The sequence below is a fragment of the Homo sapiens genome, chromosome 16 (assembly GCF_000001405.40).
Source record: "Homo sapiens chromosome 16, GRCh38.p14 Primary Assembly".
NCBI classification, from domain to species: domain Eukaryota; kingdom Metazoa; phylum Chordata; class Mammalia; order Primates; family Hominidae; genus Homo; species Homo sapiens.
In genome coordinates this window covers 25,703,406-25,724,755 of record NC_000016.10, presented here as the reverse complement: position 1 = coordinate 25,724,755, position 21,350 = coordinate 25,703,406, and the positions used below count along the sequence as shown (strand labels likewise).

General features: G+C 42.5%; 1 protein-coding gene across 1 annotated transcript in view; it reads right to left on the bottom strand.

Annotated features, from left to right (window-relative positions):
* The window catches only part of HS3ST4 (heparan sulfate-glucosamine 3-sulfotransferase 4), a 445,727-nt gene that overhangs the window by 412,930 nt on the left and 11,447 nt on the right, over positions 1 to 21,350 (bottom strand). The window lies entirely within an intron of this gene.

The following is a 21,350-nucleotide window of genomic DNA, read 5'->3' as shown; positions in this document are numbered from 1 at the left end:
TGGATGAGGAATTTTATGAGCCAGCTCTACTTCGGGTTCAGGTGATGACTTCGCTGTTAGACGAACAGAGTTACATTTAAAAAAAAGTTGAGGGGGCCGAGCGCAGTGGCTCATGCCTGTAATCCCAGCACTTTGGGAGGCCGAGGTGGGGGGATCACGAGTTCAGGAGTTCGAGACTAGCCTGGCCAACACAGTGAAACCCCGTCTCTACTAAAAATACAAAAATGAGCCAGGCGTGGTGGTGCACACCTGTAGTCCCAGCTACTCGGGAGACTGAGGCAGGAGAATCGCTTGAACCTGGGAGATGGAGGTTGCAGTGAACCAAGATGGTACCATCACACTCCAGCTTGGGTGACAGAGCAAGACTCCATCTCAAAAAAAAAAAAAAAAGTTGAGGGGAGCTTTAGTATGGAAACATAGTCATTAGTGACTTTATTTAAACTTCTGTTTCGCCCCAGTGTGGCAGGTATCTGCTGAAATTGCTCAGCATTGAACAAGAAAAAGATGGCTCTTCTGTATTCATTTCACTGCTTTATTTTCCAAATCTTTCTTGAATACAGACACTATCCTGGCTCAAAATGTTTATATTTTTTGGGGGAAACAATGGCAGGTGGTAGATTTTTTTTTTTTTTTTTTTTTTTTTGAGATGGAGTCTCGCTCTGTCGCCAGGCTGGAGTGCAATGGCACGACCTCGGCTCTCTGCAACCTCCACCTCCTGGGTTCAAGCGATTCTGCTGCCTCAGCCTCCTGAGTAGCTATGATTACAGGCACCCGCCGACACACCCAGCTAATTTTTTTGTATGTTTAGTAGAGACAGGGTTTCACCATGTTGGCCAAGATGGTCTCGATCTCTTGACCTCGTGATCCACCCTCCTCGGCCTCCCAAAGTGCTGGGATTACAGGCGTGAGCCACTGCACCCAGCCAGCAGCTGGTAGATTTCTATTTAGTAGGTGATTTAGAAATATTCAGACAAGACATAAATATAAAGAACATAAATACAAAGAATGATGGGAGAAAAGTATGATGACTGGAGAACAGTAGTAAATCACTTCTAGGCTGAAGAAGAAAAGCATCTGAGCTTCATCGAGGATATTTTGAGTAAAAGAGATAAAAAATTGTTAGGCAAATGGACAAATCCATTCTTTCAGATGTTACTGCAAAAATGTGGGCCCAAACTAAGACGGCTTCAATGATCACATGTGATTTTCAAAGGGTATACTGGTCAAATTTGTACCACTTTTTCATGGCTTATGATTTATTTGTGTATTCCTAGAACCCTGAACAGTACTAGAGTTAGCAGACAGTTATAAATAACCATCCAATGTTAGATAAATATGGTTGCTTGGTTGAAATCCAATGAAGATTTGAGGAAAGAATCATACATGCTAAAGGAACATACATAGCTGGTTTAAAAAGAAACTACCAAAGGCACCTGAATTAACTTGTCCATATATTCTATATTTATATTGATAACTGACTTCTTAATTTTTAAAAACAAAATCTACATCTTCTTCCTTTATCGTGTTTATTTTCTAGAGCTTTGCATGTTAATATGGTTTAGCCGTGTCACTACCCAAATCTGATCTTGAATTGTAGCTCCCACAATTCCCTCATGGGGGAGGGACCCGGGGAGATAACTGAATCATAAGGGTGATTTCCCCAATATTGTTCTTACGGTAGTGAATAAGTCTCACAAGATCTGATGGTTTTATAAGGGGAAACCTCTTTTACTTGTTTCTCATTCTCTCTTGTCTCCTGTCATGTAAGACGTGACTTTCCCCTTCCACCATGATTGTGAGGCCTCCTCAGCCATGTGGAACTGTGAGTCCATTAAACCTCTTTTTCTTTATAAATAACCCATTATTGGGTATGTCTTTATCAGCAGCATGAAAACAGACTAATACTCATGTGCCATCTCATGTAATCCTTACAACTACCCCCATGAAGTCCTGCTATTAGTAGTTCCATTTTACTGATAAGCAAACTGAGTCACATACTAGGTCAATAACTCATCCCAGGCCCCACAGCCAGCAGGTCATGCAGTCAATAACCACAGCCAAGCAGTTGGCTCCAGAGCCTGTGATGCCTCACTGCCCTGTGTTTTCAAGGCTGTATAAATGTTCAGCAGACTGTACCACATCATTTCTTCCAAAATCCACTTGAAATAGCCTGTTAAAATATTGTGACCTTTCCCAGGTGACACTGTATCCATATGCCCTGGCCCGGTATTGTCTGAGAAATCAACGTAAGTTCCCGTAAGGCCAGCATCATTCCTCAGTAGGTGAAAAGCAAATCAAAATCAAACAAAAGAAAAGGAACATGAGGGTTGTTGGGCAGTGTGTGTATTGGACCTACACAAATAAAATGGTGTTAGTAAAATGATACGTGAGAACATATATCTACCTTTGGTAGACCAAATAACCCTTCTCATGGAGTCTCCAAGGTATGCAGGAAGACAGCTCTGTCAGTTCTGGGGTTTGTACCCTCTGAGATCTGGTAGAGCCCTGCAGGTTTTAATGAAAACCATTTGCACTGTAAGGTACACAAGGTAGCAAGTTAATTTTAGGACAGAATTAATTGAGTAGTTTTATTCTTTGAAAAACCCTAAGTATGTCAACCCACTCCCAGTAGAATCCTTCAGGCAGTTATCTAACAAATGGAAGTTTCCTGAATGGGCTACACGCTGCCAAAACAGAACACTGACAACAAAGGATCGAAATCTTCTTTCAGAGTTTAATAAAATAGGGTGCACTAGAGAAATCCAGTCACAGTTGAGCAGGAAGATGTATAAAAGCCTCCCCACATCTTCTACGTCTTCCTTGCAGCTTTATGTGTCTTGCACAGAGAAGGGACATTTTGGCATAAATATGCATTTGAATCATGAAACAAATGCACCCAATACTCTTTCAGGAACAGAGGTTGCCAGACAAATATTTAGGCAGAAACTATAAAATGGAAATGTGTTTGTCTTTCTTTCCCTCATGACGTTCTTTCCCTCCTTCTCTTTCATTCTCCTCTTGCACTGGGCAGTATCCCACATACACACTTTGCAGAATGTCAGGTGTAATCCAACAGATGTCACTGTGAAAATGGAAGGAAAAACAACTACTCAACAGCCTCTCAAGAACTGTCTGTGCATAAATACGCTGACGGGCTTTCATTTTCAGTGTGATGGTCAACTGGGCCATCCCACATGTGGGCAGGCAAACATGTTCCTGCCAAGTGAGTCAGACAAGCTGGAAATGTTAATTCCTTTGAATGCAATTTGTGAAAAAAATATTGCTTTATGGGAAAGAAGGGTATTTCATTATTATGCAGGCATGTGCCATCAGAGGGGAAAAATGAAAAGGAAAAAAATGTAAAAAAAAGACTAAGGCAAGCCCATAAAAGGTAGTTCTGCAAGGCAATCCTCAATTCAAAGTAAGTGAGTGTTCCCTGGGATCCCTAAGGTTAGACAGGACTTACAGCCCCCCTAAACCCCCACCTGTAATAACACACACCACAGGCACATTTAAAGAAAAGAATCATTTCACCATGGGATGTTTATGTACCATGTCCTCTCCTCCTCCAAGCCTTTGCACACACTGTTCCTTATGCCCAAACACTCTTCCCTCACTACTAACTCTTAGTCTGTGACTCATTCCTACAAAACTCTCACTTCTCAGTTGAAGTGTCACTTCCTTTGGGTCACTGTGGTAGGCACTGTTACTTGCCTACCTAACAGGCATCCCCTTCTTTTCTTGCTAACAGAACTCATCTTTTGTTTGGGCAACAACGTGCCCAGCTCTAGAAGATGACTCATGGTTGGACTAAGACAGCCTGCTCTTTTTTGCCAAAGACTGAGTAGTCCAAGATGAGACAGACTTGTTCATCCAACTGTCCACTTGGAAGTCTAATGGGCATCTCATGTCCAATATGAAAGTCCTGATCTTTCCCCTTAAAACTACTCCTCTTCATTAAATAGAAACTCCATTCTTCCAGCTGTCCAGCCATAAATCTATAATTCATCCATGACTTCTCATTTTGTCCAGTAACCCAGACATAATCTTCCAAATATATTCCAAACACTGTATTTTAGTGTGGTGATGTGACTGGTGCAAGCATTGGATTAGTGACCCCGGCTTGCACAATGGGATTCTTTTTCATGGATTTTTTAAGGTTGGAGGTGAAAATGAAGGGAAGGAGCCTTAGAGCAGGAAGAACCAATTCTTAGCAATTCTTACCAGTCCTATGCTCACCAGCCAGTCCAAACAACAATTACCTCTCAAACTTGGGGTCCTACGGTAACCTTGCCATTTTTTCCCTGCATTCTCTCTTGTCTCCCTATAAATGATTCTTCACCAGCACTTGCATATATCATATCATGTATACCTTCTGTTCAATCCCACCAGGGCTCCCATCTTACTAGGGGTCTTATGGGATCTGGCTCCTACCTATCTAGCTGACTTCATGTCTTAACTCTCCTGCTTCCTCACTGTGTCCCAGTCTCATTGACCTCCTTGCAGCCTCTCAAACATGCCAATCACAGCCATGCATTAAGGCTATTCCCTCAGCTGGAATGTCCTTCTTCCAGATTTCCACATGATATTCCTCACTTATGTCCTTCAGTGATCTATCCCACAAGCCTCCCCTAACTACATTCTTTAATTGTCCATTATTTTCTCTCCTGTGCCTTATTTTCCTTCATTTCATTTACCATCACCTGACATATTATAAATTTACCTGTTTATTATCTGTCTTCCCCCATAGAATATAAGTTCCATGAAATTGTGTATAACACTCACGGAAAGAACCTTTACTATGGGCCAGACACTACAATGAGCATTTTCCCATATTGACTTATTTAAGAAGGAAGTTTGTTTTGCTCACTGGTGTATACTCCATATCCACAACAGTGTCTGGTGAACAGATTTTAAAAAAATAAATGGATAATATGATAAATGAATGTGATCCAGTTATGGGCAGGAGGATGTAGAGCAAATATACTGTGGTCTTCTGGAAGGAATTCTCTGCCCCATAAAAGTTAAGGGCTGCCTGAAGAAAAAGTCTTTTTGCTACTTTTCCTCTACTCTTTCTTCACATACTCTTATGCTAGCATATGATGCCCAGAACTGCAGCTACCATCTTGAGTTCATGCTGCAACAAACTATAGTTCAAAATCCAACAGGTAACAGTGGCCAAATGGAAGGATGTAAACAGCTTTCCCTTCCTATACCGATAAACTGCTGAATCTATCCCAGCACTACCTATCTGGATTTCTTGCGAAGTGAAATCTAAATGTCCTAAGTCACTGTTCATTAAGTTTCCTCTTGCTTACAGCCAAAAGTATTCAAATTGACACACTTTGCATTTATTAAGCTAAATTGTGATTGTCACTTGTCTGTCTGTCTTCTTATTTAGATCAAGTTTCACAAGGATAAAAGTGCCTTATTATTTACCATCTCCCTGGCATCTCGTACAACACCTGGTAAAGAATGGATGCCTTAAGTATTTCTTAAACAAGCAATTCATTTCCCTCCCTTTGCCCCAGCAACTTCCTGAGAACTAAAACTAAATGCTGACCCATTTCTGTCTTTCTGGACCTTTAGAGATATCTTTAGTATTACACTGGCATCTCCTAGCTCTCACGATGTTAAGACATATCTTTAAAAAGTCAACTCTTTCTCCAGCTACATCTAAACTAAGTGGACATTTTTCAGACTTCAGTGCAGAAGATCTTTTAGTGACATCCAACATGGTTGATCACTCCCTCCCTTTTAAAACCCTTACTTCCATCAAACTACATCTTCTTTCTTATTGTCCTCCTATGTCTTTGCATCCTTTACAAGCTCATCTTTCTATATTCTCCAATTTCAAAGTCCAATCCTAAACCCCCTTCTCTTATCAGCATATACTTACTCCCTGTGCAAAATCACCACAGACCATGGCTTCAATTATTGCCTTTATGCCGATAATTTCCAAATTTATATCTCCTATCCCTGTCCTCTCTTCTGAGCTCAGGTACATGCATCCCACTGCCTATCTGATATCTATACATAGATGTCTCAAAATCACCTGAAACTCAACATTCTTGGAGGCTCGTTATCATACCTAATTGGAGAAACTCACCTCAAACTGGGTTGAGACTTAAAAGGAAATATATTGGCTTAAGTAACTAGAAATTTCTTGGATAGAGTTAGTCTTGAGCATGCCTGGATTTAGGAATTTAAACAACAAAAGAAAGTCTCTCTTTCTTTCTCTCTCTCTCTCTCTCCCATTTCTGCTTACCTCTATCTACCTTCTCTCCTATTGCCAACTACTTTTCTCCATAGGTAAGAAATGACCAGAAAGCAGCTCCGACACCCTATCCTTGCTGCTCCAAGACTCTAAAGGTAAGTCCCGTTCATTTTCACTTCCAACCTTAAACATTCATGAAAAGGAATCTCATCGTGCAAGCCTGGGTCACTAAGCCACTGCCTGCATCAACACTGTTACCACACTGAAGCACAGTGCACTACAGCCAGGTCAGCAGGGCTTTCTGAAGGTAAATGTAACCAAAAACCCTATGACTGGATTAACAGTTCTTCAAAGGAAGTGGGTATAGGGTGTGCTGAACAGATTAAGTGAGCACAGGTGTTCTACCCCCAACCCTGCTCCTGTCCTTATGGTTTGTCTTGGTGAATAAAACCATCATTCTCCCATCCTGTTACACAAGCCAGCCACAAACCTAGGAGTTCCTGCTGACTTTCCTCTCTCTCACCCCTCAAAGGCAAGCCAGTGACATAGCCATTCAGTTTTACCTCCCAAATATCATTCAAAGTCAGCCACTTCTTTCCATCATCACTGCCATCTCCCTAGTCTAAGCCACCAGAAATGTTTTTCCTGGACTACTGGAAGAACTTCCTAGATGTACGTACTCTTGTCCCTCCTATCCATTGCCCACATAGCAATTAGGATGATCATTTCAAAGAATATGCCTGAACGTGCCACCCCTCTGCTAAAACCATTAAACAGTTCTCCATCTTTCCTAGGACAAAACCCTAACTCTTTAACGTGGCCTACAAGTCCTTGCATGTCTTTCCTCTCCAGCTTCATCCTAAGTCATCCTTCTCCGTGTCTCCCAGAGCTCCAGCACTCTGAGCTTTTAGTTTTTCCAGCATGCGATGCACCTTCCCACTGTGAGGTTTTTACACATGCTATTTCCTCTGCTTGGATTGCCAAACACACACACACACACACACACACACACACACACACACACACACCCCTTCACCTTCTACTCATCCTTCAGATCTCATCTCAAATGCCACTTATTCAGAGGAATCTCCCTGGTCCTCCAATAGGTTAGATCTCTCACTAAATATGCTCAAATTGCAGCCTTTATTATATTATCTTACAGTACTGGGTATTGTTCCTTCAGAGTAGTCATTATGCTTGTAATTTTAACCTTATTTACTTTAATTGATTACATCTTTCTTCTCTACTGGAAGGCAAATGCCACAAGAACAAGAATCCATTGCTTCTGCGTACCCTTGTCTTTCCAGCACCAACCACAATGCCTGAATTCATGTCCGAATAATTTCTGGAAGGCACGGAGATTAAAAGTACAGATTCTGGAGCCAAATCTAAGGTCAGCCAAGGTTCCTCTTCTTTAAGTTGATTTGTGTGTGTCACTCTGGACAAGTCACTTGTAATTCCCTCCCTGCCTCCCTTTTTTTTTTAAGACAAAGTTTTGCTCTTGTTGCCCAGGCTGGAGTGCAATGGCCCGAACTCGGCTCACTGTGACCTCCACCTCCCAGGTTCAAGTGATTCTCCTGCCTCAGCCTCCCGAGTAGCTGGAATTATAGGTGTGCACCATCATGCCCGGCTAATTTTTGTATTTTTAGCAGAGATGGGGTTTCACCATGTTGGCCAGGCTGGTCTCAAACTCCCAACTTCAGGTGATCCGCCTGTCTCAGCCTCCCAAAGTGCTAGGATTACAGGCGTGAGCCACCGCGTCTGACCTAATTCCCCTTCTTTATTTATCTGTAAAATGTGGATAACAGCAAAGTTTCTCATGAGGGCTTCATAAGATGCTCTGCCTGAAACCCTCAGCACGATGCCTGGAACAGAGAAGGCAGATGTATCCATTACAATTAAGTTTAGCTAAGAGCAACTGAAACCCCAAAATGATATGGCTTAAACAATGAAGAAATGTATGCCTGTCTTAGCCAAAGGGCTCCCATTGGGCTCTTTTTATCTGGTTGCCTCAGCATTTTCAAGATGCGGCTTTCTCTACCTGGCACCTAATGACTGTTCAAGCTTCAACCATCAGGTTCTCCCTTTCACCAACAGCAAAGAGGGGAGCTTCCTCATAAGGCTGTTTCCCAGAAGTTGCCACAGCAGCTACTCTCAAATCCCATTGGTCCAAACTTAACCTCATGAAGCCACATCAGCCAGAAAGCAGACTGGGAAATGTAGTCTTTATTCCAGATTGTCAGGTGCCCAAGAAAAATGGAGACACAAGAAACAACCTCTATCTCAGCAAGACAGCGAAAAGAGAATCCTTCTATGAACACTGGGGATTTTATGTCAAGGAGCATCTCCATAAAAGATTATATGGGAAAAGAAGTCTGCAGAAGCACCATCCACAGCAACTCATCTTGTTGCAGTAAGCGACACATAAATGTATTTGTTGAATTTTAAGAAAAACCACTACCATCGCCACACCAGATGTGACCCTTCTTAATCCACAGGACATGCTTCACAGGGAAGCTGTCTAGCTCTGCTCCTGCTCAGGATCCCCCTGACCTCTTTCCCTGCCACGATGGAAGAGGAGCTTTGAGAGGTCCTTGGCATTGTCATTCTCCTATGACTATAGGGGGAATTGCTCTCTGGATATATACAAGGTGCTGACAGCTGCCAAGCTGGACTTCTCAGGAAGCCCCAAGGCAGTCTTCTGACCACAGAATCCCCCTATAGGGCAAATCATGGACAGAGGGACTCCGGCTTTGTTGTACCTGATGCACTGAGGGCATCTCCATCTGTCACTAACCACTGCTTCAGAAACTTAATCTTGGTTCAGAGCTAAAGCCATCCTGTCACTCCGCTCCAATTCACTTCGGAAAAGTTTAAAAAAGGAATCTTTGGCCTCACGGTGAATCCCCAAGTCTTACAGAAAAATGATTCCGCAGCAGTTCAAAGAGAGAAGAGAAGTATTTGCTTTTTTTCCCTTTCATGCAGAAGAGAAAGGAGCATTGAGTATTATTTTGATAACAGAAACTAAACTCTAAATAATAGCATCCAAGAGCAATAACCACACACAAACCACATATTTTCTTTCATCTCATGGTAATTGCATATGGAATCACCATCCTTATTATTAAAAGCTTTTATCCAGTGCCAGTAGGTGCCTGGGGCACAAAAGGCGCTGAGTTTTTTTTTTTTTTGGTTTTTTTTTTTTTTTTTGAGACGGAGTCTCGCTCTGTCGCCCAGGCCGGACTGCGGACTGCAGTGGCGCGATCTCGGCTCACTGCAAGCTCCGCTTCCCGGGTTCACGCCATTCTCCTGCCTCAGCCTCCCGAGTAGCTGGGACTACAGGCGCCCGCCACCGCGCCCGGCTAATTTTTTGTATTTTTAGTAGAGACGGGGTTTCACCTTGTTAGCCAGGATGGTCTCGATCTCCTGACCTCGTGATCCACCCGCCTCGGCCTCCCAAAGTGCTGGGATTACAGGCGTGAGCCACCGCGCCCGGCCGGCGCTGAGTTTTACTAAATCTATATCTATCAGTACATGGGGGAATACATGGAGGTCTCTCCCAAGAACTTAGAAATAAGATTGTCTTCTGACCACTTATCAAAAGGCATCCAGAATTTTAAAGTGCATACTCCTTCCATTTTCTATACAAACATTTCCAGAGCACAAGAATACTTTCTGCAGCCTTGTTTGTAAAAGGATGGAAACTACAGAGATGTCCATCAGGAGAGAAGTGGTTAAATAAAGCATGACCCAACCCCATGGAAAAATACAATGTAGATACTACCAAATAACGAGCTAGACTTCTCTGCCATGTCAGGGAAAAGTGTTCACCATCTCATGACAAGAAAACAAAGCAAACAAAACAGGCAAATAAGTAAACAAAGCCATCAACATATAACAAACAAGGAGACAAAACAGATGCAGCTTCTGAAGTTAACCAGGGTGGCTTAAGTACTTCCCAGCTCAGCGACTGTGGACAAGTTCTGCATCATCTCTAAACCACAATTTCTTCATCTAATAAAATGAGATAACAACAGGATATCTCATAGGATCTTTGTGAGGATTAAACACACCAACTAGTCTAGGAGGCGGTGAGTCAGCATGGTGTGTTAACTAGAGGGATCAGCAGCCGTGTTCACTCTGGATAACTTCTCGTCAGTGTCATCGTACTCTATCAATGACCACATCTTAATCTACTGTATTAATCAGACAAAGGGGAGGAGACACAGCCGGCTCTAAGCAGTGGTTCCCGTCTGGCGAATGAGGTTGGCAGTGCGGGAAGGAGGATGATGAGCCGTGGAGAGAGTCTTTATTTTATTTTCATGTATTTGTTAGTTGTCTTTTTTCTTTTACAATGAGCTCATGTTACTGTCATAATAAAGGGTGCTTTTTTTTGGAACGGGGAGGTTCTTTAACAATTGGCCTCTAACAGTTAAACCTGAATAGCATCTTGTAATGGATTAGTACAGAGATCTGCAAAATTCCCCGAGGAGACTCTAAGCCCCAGGACCTGCTGGTAACTTAACTGGAAACAGGAACATGTCTAAAGAAAGAATATGACTACAGATGGGCTGGGGGGTGGGGATGCCACGGAGTCCTAGCAGCTTGGGAGGAAGAGAGACAACAGAGGTAGCAAGGCCATCCAAGCAACAGGCAGGGCCAAGGGAATTGGATCCCTTAGACCCATATTTGCAAATGTGTCCCCCAGGCTCCTCACACAGTATTTGTTCTGTGTTATGGACCGAGTTGTGTTCTCTCTGAGGTGGGCATGTCTTGCTAGCCAGCAAGAACTCAAGCATACCCTGAGAATGACCCTGTGATCTTTGGTGAGTGTTTGTTCAGTGCTCCGAGCCATGGAATGGCCAACCTGGATGTTTACGCCATACCTATGAAGAACAACTGGATCCTGGCCCATTCCTTGGAACCCAGGTCATGCAAGGAACCAAGGCCTTTTGTGTTGAGCTAAGGAGACAGGATGTTTGTTTGTTTGTTTGTTTGTTTGTTTGTTTTTGAGACAGGGTCTTGCCTTGTCACCCAGGCTGGAGTGCAGTGGTGCAATCACAGCTCACTGCAGCCTTGACATCCCAGGCTCAAGCAATCCTCTCACCTCAGCCTCCCTAGTAGCTGGGACCACAGGCACACACCACCACACCCAGCTCATTTTCGTATTTTTTGTAGAGACAGGGTCTCACTATGTTGCCCAGGCTGGTCTCAAACTCCTGGGCTCAAGTGATCCTCCCACCTCAGCCCCCAAAGTGCTGGGATTACAGATGTGAGCCACCACACCTGACCTTGGAGACAGGATCTTTAAAGAGGTGATTAATTTAAAATGAGGTCATATAGCAAATACCTAAGGTATCCGGGGCTTAAAACCTAGACGACAGGTTGACAGGTGCAGCAAACTACCATGGCACATGTATACATACCTATGTAACAAACCTGCATGTGTATCCCAGAACTTACAAAAAATAAATAAATAAATAAAAATTAAAAAAAACATTTAAATGAGGTCAAATGGGTGAAATATGATAGCTGTCCTTATAAGAAGAGATTAAGACAGAAACAAACAGAGGGAAGACCATGTGAAGACACAGGGAGAATAGAGCCGTCTGCAAGCCAAGGAGAGAGGCCTCAGAAGAAACTAACTTTCCAACTCTAATCTCAGACTTCCAGCTTCCAGAATTGTGAGAAAATATATTTCTGTTGTTTGTCACCCAGTCTCTTGTGTTCTGTTACAGCAGCCTATCAAGCGAATACACTCTGTTGGGGATTCTTTTCTCATATGAAAGAATTTTACATTTTCTCTGTGCAAATCCATCAATCTTTCCCTTTTCCCTTTATGGCTTCTGGGTTTTTGTTTTTTTTTAACAATCTTGATTTGAAAGGATTTTGCCATCCCAATATTATTAAGATATATCCGTACTGCCTTCTAATACTCTTAACAATTTTTGTTGTTGTCATTGTTGACGTTCTTGTCTTATGGTGCTTCTTTTGTTTCATTCTTTTTATTTTTTTATAGATACAGGGTCTCACTCTGTCTCCCAGGCTGGAGTGCAGTGGCATGATCACAGCTCACTGCAGCCACCAATTCCCGGGCTCAAGGGATCCTCCCACCTCAGCCTCCCGAGTAACTGGGACTAAAGGCATGCACCACCACGCAGGCTAATTTTTGTATTTTTAGTAGAGATGGAGTTTCACTATGTTGCCCAAGCTGGTCTCAAACCCCTTGACTCAAGTAATCTGCCTGCCCTAGCTTCTGAAAGTGCTGGGAGTATAGAGGTGAGCCACCGCGCCTGGCCTTTTGTTTCCTTCTTTACCTGCAATTTATTTCTATAATTCATGTGTGGTCAGGCTCAAAATTTGGGGTTTTTTTTCCTGGAAGAATAGTATCTTGTCTATATTACTGTTTTCCCAGCTTTATTGAGGTATGACTGACAAAAATCTATCATTTTTATAAACGTAAAAGTGTTAAATGATGTTACAGGAGTATATTTTTGACACAAAAAGATGGTCATAATATACTTTCAAGTGAAAGAAGCAAATTATTTTAAAATACACATTTTTGAAATAAATTATGTATACTTTATAAGTATTAAAAATTTATAGAAGAGGCTGGGCACAGTGGCTTATGCCTATAATCCCAGCACTTTGGGAGGCTGAGGCGAGCAGGTCACTTGAGGCCAGGAGTTCAAGACCAGCCTGGGCAAAATCGGCCCTGATAGTACAGGAAAAAATGAAGCAATAAATAAACTCAGACAGCGAGGAGAAAGGCTTCGTAAGCTTTTCCACTCCAGACCAGGTACTTTGCACCTTATAAAGTCAGGGAGTGTTTGTGTCACAGAGCTTCATAACAAGAGAGTGATGTTACTACTAAAATTCTAGCTAAGTTCTACTCATGAGAACACTTTTCTAAAGGCAGTAGTCAATTTTGGGAGGGGTGGCTAAAAAAAAATCTTCACCATGAAATAAGAGGTGGCCGTGATGTCACTGTGTCACTGAGCAAACACCTGATGTCTCTGCCACCAGCTCCTCTTTACGGGGCCACCACACCACCAAGGCAGCAGCAGGGTCAGCAGCATTTCTAAGCAAGGTAGCAGAGAAGCACTGCTTTCCCTCCTTCATGCTGCCTTGAAATAGCCCAGGCGGAAGGGATTTTTTTTTTTCTCCCTTTCCTTTTAAAGAATACACAGCCCAGGGCAACTCTCCTACCTCAGCTGCCCCACATTGGGAAGGGGTAGCTAAGTCATGCAGTCTCTGAAACTGCCAACGCACAGCAGGGCTCGGAAAATCAGTACCTCTCTCTGAAGTTACCCAACGTGCTGAGACCTTTAAACCAAACGACAGTAAGTAGACATCGCCAAAGTCTTTCATGGAATTAGAAGATGGGTTTACTTCCCTAGAAGCCTCAAAATGTGAGCTGGACACAGTGGTTCATGCCTGTAATCCCAGCCCCTTTGGGAGACTGAGGCAAGAAGATCGCTTGAGGCCAGGAGTTCGAGACCAGCCTAAGCAAAAAAGCAAGACCCCATCACTACACAAAAATAAAAATAAAAAATTAGTTGGGCATAGTGGTGCATGTCTGTAGTCCCAGGTACTCAGGAGGCTGAGGCTGGAGGATCACTTGAGCCCAGGAGTTCTAGGCTGCAGTGAGCTATGATTGAGCCACTGTACTCCAGCCTGAGTGACGAAGCAAGATCCTGTCATTAAAAAAAAAAAAAAAAAAAAAAAAAGGATAATATGCAAAAGCACAACTGCTGGAAATTAGAAATCACAAAACTTAACTTTCTGTACAATCTGCTTTTAAATTTTGCCTTTTTCTGAAATAAAATAAGTTTCTGAAGAAGTCTTCAGAATCTTAAAATAAGTAGCAAGAAACCAGGAAAAGAAATCTCTTTATAAAAAGAACCATTCTAGTACATAGGCCTAATAGCGACTGGATGAGCAATAGGAAGTCTTTCTATTTCTACTCCTAGTTTCTCCATCTTGGGGGAAATAAGGAACGAGCCAGACTCCAACCTGCTCCACAGCCAGGATATGGGGAAGGACCCTAAGGCAAAAAGGATGGTCAGATGGCAGAGGTAAAAATGGAGGATAAAGCCCTGAAGCCATCAAAAGTCCATAGGAAATTGACCGGGACCTAATCAATGACCCTGGGGCTTAACAAGTCCAAGGTCCTCAGGTTCCCCCAGGAATTCCTGCTGAAGAACCTTCAAGATCCTCCAGGATATAATTTTCTCACACACACACATAAGCTGAAGAAGAAAATATCCTTGTGTGCTAATAAGAATCTCCCAAACAACACACAAGGTGGACAGATATACATATATTTTTAAGTCAAAACACTAGATTGGACAAGGGAATTTTTCTTCTCCAGAACACTGATTTATTTTCCTAAAACGTCTTACAGAAGCAGAAAAAATTAAATCACACTTAATTCTATATTGTGAGCCTCACTTTAAATGAAAAGAATGGCATAAAATCAAAGATTTTCTAGAAATTCTAGGCTATCTAGTTGTTAAATTAAGACTGATCAAATGCCAAATCATTTCTCCCTCTCCACTTGAAGCGAATCCGGGCAGGAAGACTTAATGTGATGAAACTATTTCACTTGCTATTTGAAGAATTCTCTTGTAAGATACACAATTCCTTTAAAATTTTCTAGGCAGCTGCTAGGGGTTGCTAAGGAAGGGATGAAAATAGAAAATATTCTAAATAAATAATTAGTGATTTCTGAGGGGCAGATTCCATAGATACTTTTTTCAGGATTGAACACATCTTAGGTTTAGAGACTGGATACATTTTTTTTCCTGCATTGCCTCCCTCTCTCTCTTCTTCTCTTCCTTCCATTCTTCCCCTCTCGGTTAAAGAAAAGATGCAGAATCTTCAAGCAGAGACCTAGACAGGGAGATTTTGAGCTGCTCTGTTTGTGTCCACCTTGGTAGAAAGACAAAACAGAACCTAGGTCCTCTATCTCCATGCAAGCCGGTGGAACCTCACTGTGTCTGTTTTATTCGGTTGTACTTCGGGGAAAGATTGCATTTGAACAGAGGAGTGTCTAGAAACAGACATCTGTTGTTTTGGCAGCAGCATTCATTTCCTGTCTTTGATAACCAGATCCAGGGGCCTCCAGGGAAACTAACTCCTCCCTAGGCTCCAGGGAGGCAGTGCCTCAAGCCTCACACCCCGCTGGCAACAGAAACCGCTTGATGGATGTGTGCACGACCCCTAAGAACTAATGAGCTACATCGAGTCTTCAGCAAAGACTTCCAGGACAAAGATGACAAGCTTCTCCACCTATACTTGGGGAAAGAGAATCAGGCTAGCACCCACTTTACAGCCACAAGGAGAGAAGTTTTGAGAACTCAGTCAACCATCTGAGCGGCGACAGAGAATCCAGAAGCAGAGATCTGGTGACATTGTTTAAACACTAATTAAGCCAAAAAAAAAAAAAAGATATCCCCAATTCCTGGGACTTCTCAGATACATGAGCCATTAAATTCCTTTTTGATTTATGCTCGGTTCAGATTTTACCTTGGATTTCTGTGTTATAACCAGAGGAATTCTAGCCAATAGAGTTCTGGAGCTGAAATGAAGTTTTGAACCACCACTGAAAATGATTATCCTTAAAGATGTTCTAACATATTGTGATTTGGGGCAATTTCTTCCTCCTAGTGGATGAAAAATGGAAGGATGGGAAAAGGGAATCCCAGGAAAATTGAAAAGTCCCAAGGCCAAGAGTTGAAGGTAAACTAAAAGAAGGAAGGAACTTTTGACACAGATACACAGGCTAGTGAGAACCCATAAATACAGAAGAAACTCATTGTTTTGTTCTAAATGAGGAAATCCATGGTTCTCATTGAGGTCAAGAGGTTTCTTGGTTGAAATCAACATGCAATTTTCAAATTCTAAATGGGTAATGTAGCAATTTAATATATGGCATATGTGTTATAATAATATTTCTTAATATTAATTGCTTTAAGATATACTTATGGCAACATGGCATTTTCATTTTTGTCCATATTTAGATAGTCATAAGAATGCTAAGAAGGAAAGAAAAATTCCACCTGCCAAGATTTTTTCTATATCTGAACACAAATGAAGAAATTGGTTCAGAATGGGGAAGAGAAAAAACAAATACACAACTGTATTCCAGTATGTTTTAAACACGGCTTTACACATCTGTTTTGATACTTGCTTATTGTTTACTGAAAGTGAATATTTTATAAAGCCTCTTATTTTATGATATAAGAACAAAATATGCAGGGTTAATCCAGATTGGAAGGAGCAAGGAGCCACTCGTTTTGTATCTCAGGAAATGCCTGACTTTGGACCCAACCTGTGTCCCACAATCACCACCTGGTGGCAGCATACTTAAATAGCAGGGATAGCTGAGTGTTACATAAACATCTTTTAAATTTTGACCCCAGCAACATTAAGGTCATTTTGTGGTACCGGATCAATGACTAGATCCTCTCTCCAGAATAGGGGAATTAAAAAACAGGAAATTAGGATACCAGAAACCTGGGTGGGTGTGGAGTAACTATGGAATACAGGCATATGTCAATGATGACACTGTTCACCAGCATTTTCCAATAAGTGATGCTCTTACCACTAGCAGGTGAGTCCAGGTGGTACAAGAAAAAGCCACCCTGAGGATAAGATGATTGAGCAGAGACCCGAATGAAGGGAGGACATAAGACATGCAATTATCTAATGCAAAGAAACATTGTAAGTGGTGGAAGCAGCAAGTGCAAAGGCCCTGGGGCAGGGCCATGTTTGACTTCTCAGGTACAGCAAGGAGGCTAGCAAAGCTCAAGCAGAGGAACAAAGAAAATAAGGCAACTGAATGTGGCTAAAGCAGTGAATAGGGGTCAGATCCTTGCCTTTTCTCCAGTTTCTAGAAGCTGCCCACATTGGCTTGTAGCCTCTTCCTCTATTGCCAAAGCCAGCAACAGTGATTGAGTCCTTCTCATACTACCTTCTGGTTCTCTCTCTGCCTCCCTCTTCCATTTACAATAGTGCCCCCTCATCTACAGAGGATATGCTCCAAGACCCCCAGTGACTTCCTAAAACCATCAATAATACAAAACCCTATAGATATTATGTTATTTCCTATACATACATAGCTATGATAAAGTTAAATTTATAAATTAGGTACAGTAAGAGATTAACAACTCATAATAAGATAGAATTATAACAATATATTATAATAAAAGTTACGTGATTATGGTCTCTCTCTCAAAATATTTTATTTTACTATTCTTACCCTTTCTAAATTGAAAAGTTTTGCCTTTTCACTTAAAAGAAGCACTTCATGGGTTCTCTTTGGGCATATCTGAATTACCAGCATCACTACTCTTGCACTCTGGGGCCATCATTAAGTAAAGTAAAGGTTACTCACACATAAGCACTGAGATACCACGACAGTCAATCTGATAACCAAGACAGCTGCTGAGTGACTCAAGGATGGGTAGAGTCTACAGGGTGGACATGCTGGACAAAGGGATAATTCACATCCTGGGTGGCACAGAGCAGGACAGCGCAAGATGTCACCACACTACTCAGAATGATGAGCAACTTAAAACCTATGAACATTTATTTCTGAAATTTCCCATTAATATTTTCAGAGCACAGTTAACCATGGGTAACTGAAACCTCAGAAAGTGAAACTGCGGATAAGAGAAGCCTTCTGTATACAATTCCTTGGAATTACATTGGCTCCAACCAAATAATTCAGGACAATCTCCCATTTAAAGTCAGTTGGTTCATAATCTTCATTCCATCTGCAACCTAATTCCCCTTTGCCAGCTAATCTAACATATTTGCAGGTTCCAGGGATTAGGATGCAGGCATTTCAGGGAGGTCATTATTCTGTCTAGCACAGAGGGTTAGAAAGCAGGTTAGGCCACCGCACGTTCTCATTCATAAGTGGGAGCCGAACAGTGAGAACACATGGACACAGGGAGGGGAACATCACACACCAGGGCCTGTCGGGGGGTGGGGAGCTAGGGGACGGAGAGCATTAGGACAAATACCTAATGCATGCCGGGCTTAAAACCTAGATGACGGGTTGATAGGTGCAGCAAACCACCATGGCACATGTTCTGCACATGTATCCCAGAACTTAAAGTAAAATTAAAAAATATATATATTAAAAAAGATTTAAAAAGAAAGCATGTTAGGCAGACAACTAGAAGGTGGAAAGTTAATACACCAACCTGGGAAACACAGCCTGAAAAGAGAGGATAGGTCAATTGAGAACCAAATGACAGAATCTTCTGGTCACTCCCAAAGCTCAACAACTGCAGGGCAGTTTTAAGAAGCAAGTGTGACCCGTAGCTCCGTAGGTTTTTATGTTGTTTCGGTATTTTAAAAATGACGTAACAATGATGAATCCGGTGAAACAGTTACACAGTCTGAGATTGTCCAGGAATTCCCCAGATCTTTACGCAGTCTGCCCTGAGAACGTTTGATATCCATGCTATAAAATAGTTTCTGTAAATTAAACCTCTTAATCTAACTTTATAAGAGTGCTTGTCCTGTATTTCAGGTACTCCCTGGACTGCAACATTCCAGGAAACCAATAACCTGGGGGAATTCATGAAAACGTGCATGGATTAATAACAACTAACATATGTAGACTAAGTCGATCCCAACACACAGTCACTATTCTACCCTTGCAAAATCACTGTGGAGTTAGTAGAGGTTGTTATTCCCATTTTAGAGATGAGAAAACAAAGGCTCTACACACCAATCTATGCACACAAAACAAGTCCCACAAGGTGCAGAACTCAGACTCAAATCCTTAATTTCTGATTCCACCTTCAGCTTCCTTTTCTTTCTTTTATTCAATTATTTTTATTTTTATTTTTTTTTGGGATGGAAACTGGCTTCATCACCAGGCTGGAGTGTAGTGGTGCGATCTCAGCTCACTGCAACCTCCGCCTCTGGGTTCAAGCAATTTTCCTACTTCAACCTCCTGAGTAGCTGGGACTACAGGTGCGTGCCACCACGCCTAGCTAATTTTTTGTATTTTTAGTAGAGATGGGGTTTCACCGTGTTAGCCAGGGTGGTCTCGACCTCCTGACCTTGTGGTCTGCCTGCCTCGGCCTCCCAAAGTGCTGGGATTACAGGCGTGAGCCACCGCAGCCAGCCCAGCTTCCTTTTCAAAATACCACAGAGCTCCAAGCAATCAAACTGTCCTATGACAGAGGTGCCCACGTAGTTTGACTCAAATATTTCCTCATCTCCAGGGGCTCCCAAATCTCTAACCCTCTGCAGAAGCTTTAACCTGGAGGGAATGGTGTGCGGACACCTCTAGGAGGTAACAAAAGTCAAACAGGGGGCCCCCGTGTCATGGCCTGATTATTATATGGCAATTAGGTAATTTTGATAATACATCCAGAGAAAGACAATCCAACTACTCATGGAGCATAATGATCTATCAGTAATAATCCGTGCTCATCTCCTACAACTGTGCTACAGCAACAGAGGCCAGGAATAGTAGGAAGGCACCCAGGGCCGGGTGCGGTGGCTCACAGGTAATCCCAGCACCTCGGCAAGCCTCAGCTGTAGGATTACTTGAGTGCAGGAGTTTGAGACTAGCCTGGGCAACCAACAGAGCAAGATGTCTTCTCTACAATTTTTTTTTTTTTTTTTGAGATGGAGTTTTGCTCTTGTTGCCCAGGCTGGAGTGTGATGGCATGATCTCAGCTCACTGCAACCTCTGCCTTCTGGGTTCAAGCGATTCTCCTGCCTCAGCCTCCCCAGTAGCTGGGATTACAGGTGCCTGTCACCACGCTTGGCTAATTTTTTGTGTTTTTAGTAGAGACGGGGTTTCACCATGTTGGCCAGGCTGGTCTCGAACTCCTGACCTCAGGTGATCCACCTGCCTCGGCCTCCCAAAGCAATTTTTTTAAAAATTAGCCAGGCACAGTGGAGCACCTATATAGTCCAGCTACTAGAGGCAGGAGATCACTTGAGCCCAGGAGTTCAAAGCTGCTGTGAGCTATGATCATGCCACTGTACTCCAGGCTGGGCAACAGAGCGAGACACCATCTCTAAAAATAAATAAATAAGACATCCAGCTCAGGACATCCTGCTATGGGAGCTCAGGAATGTCACTTGCCCTTCCAAAGTCTCAATCTCTCTATCTGTAAGAAAACATCTACTTCATGAGGCCACTGTGAGGAATAAATGAAATAATGTTGTGTGCTATAGGAACCTTTGGGGGAGACTAGCTAGCCCACACAGCTTATTTGAGTGGGTTTCTCTTTCTGCACCCAAAATAGGCTTGCAAAAAAAGAGTATGTGAAAAAGCTGAGAACAATTCTTAGCTACACTTCCCAAGAAATGTGAGGGTTCTTTCTTTCCAGAAGCCTGGAGTATCGTACATACAAGGTCCTCTTTTTGTTCATGAATTCACTGATTTATCATTGGTGATTAATAAATCACCATGCATTGAGCATCTACTATCTGCCAGGCACTGTTCTGGGCTCTGGCTTGAAACAAAATGGACAAGATCGATTTCTGGTCCTATGCAGTTTACCTTCTAGTGAGGGGGAGATAAGTAATGAGGATAACTTTGGAGAGCAATAGATGTGCTGGAGAAAATAAAACAGCATAACAAGCTCAGAAGTGGAAGAAGTTATTTAAATTAGGTAGTCAGGAAAGGCCTTTTAGAGGAGCTGAAATTTCAGCCAACACCTAAAGGAAAGATAAGGAGATACCAGTAGTTTAGGGATCTAGGGACAGAATATTCCAGGAGGAGGGAAAAGAGAATAAAATGGCCCTAAAGGGGGAATGAGCTTGGCATAGTCCCTGAACAGAAAGAAAACCACTTCCACTGTTTACTGTGAGGGCAAGACTCCTGCAGCAGCCTGTCCATCTGCACACTGGAACTAAAAGCAGGGAAATGCTGAAGCTTATTATTTACTCCCATGAGGCTGGAAGACACCACTTCCAGTGGAAATGAACTCTGAGACAAATAAAGGTAAGAACGTATGCTTGAGGCCATACACCTAGGTTTGAATCCCAACTCCACAGTTTGAGCGAGTGACTTACCAGCACTGTGCCTCAGTTCCCTCGCCTGTAAGGCGTGGGTAATATCAGTGCCTATCTCACGAGGTGCCAG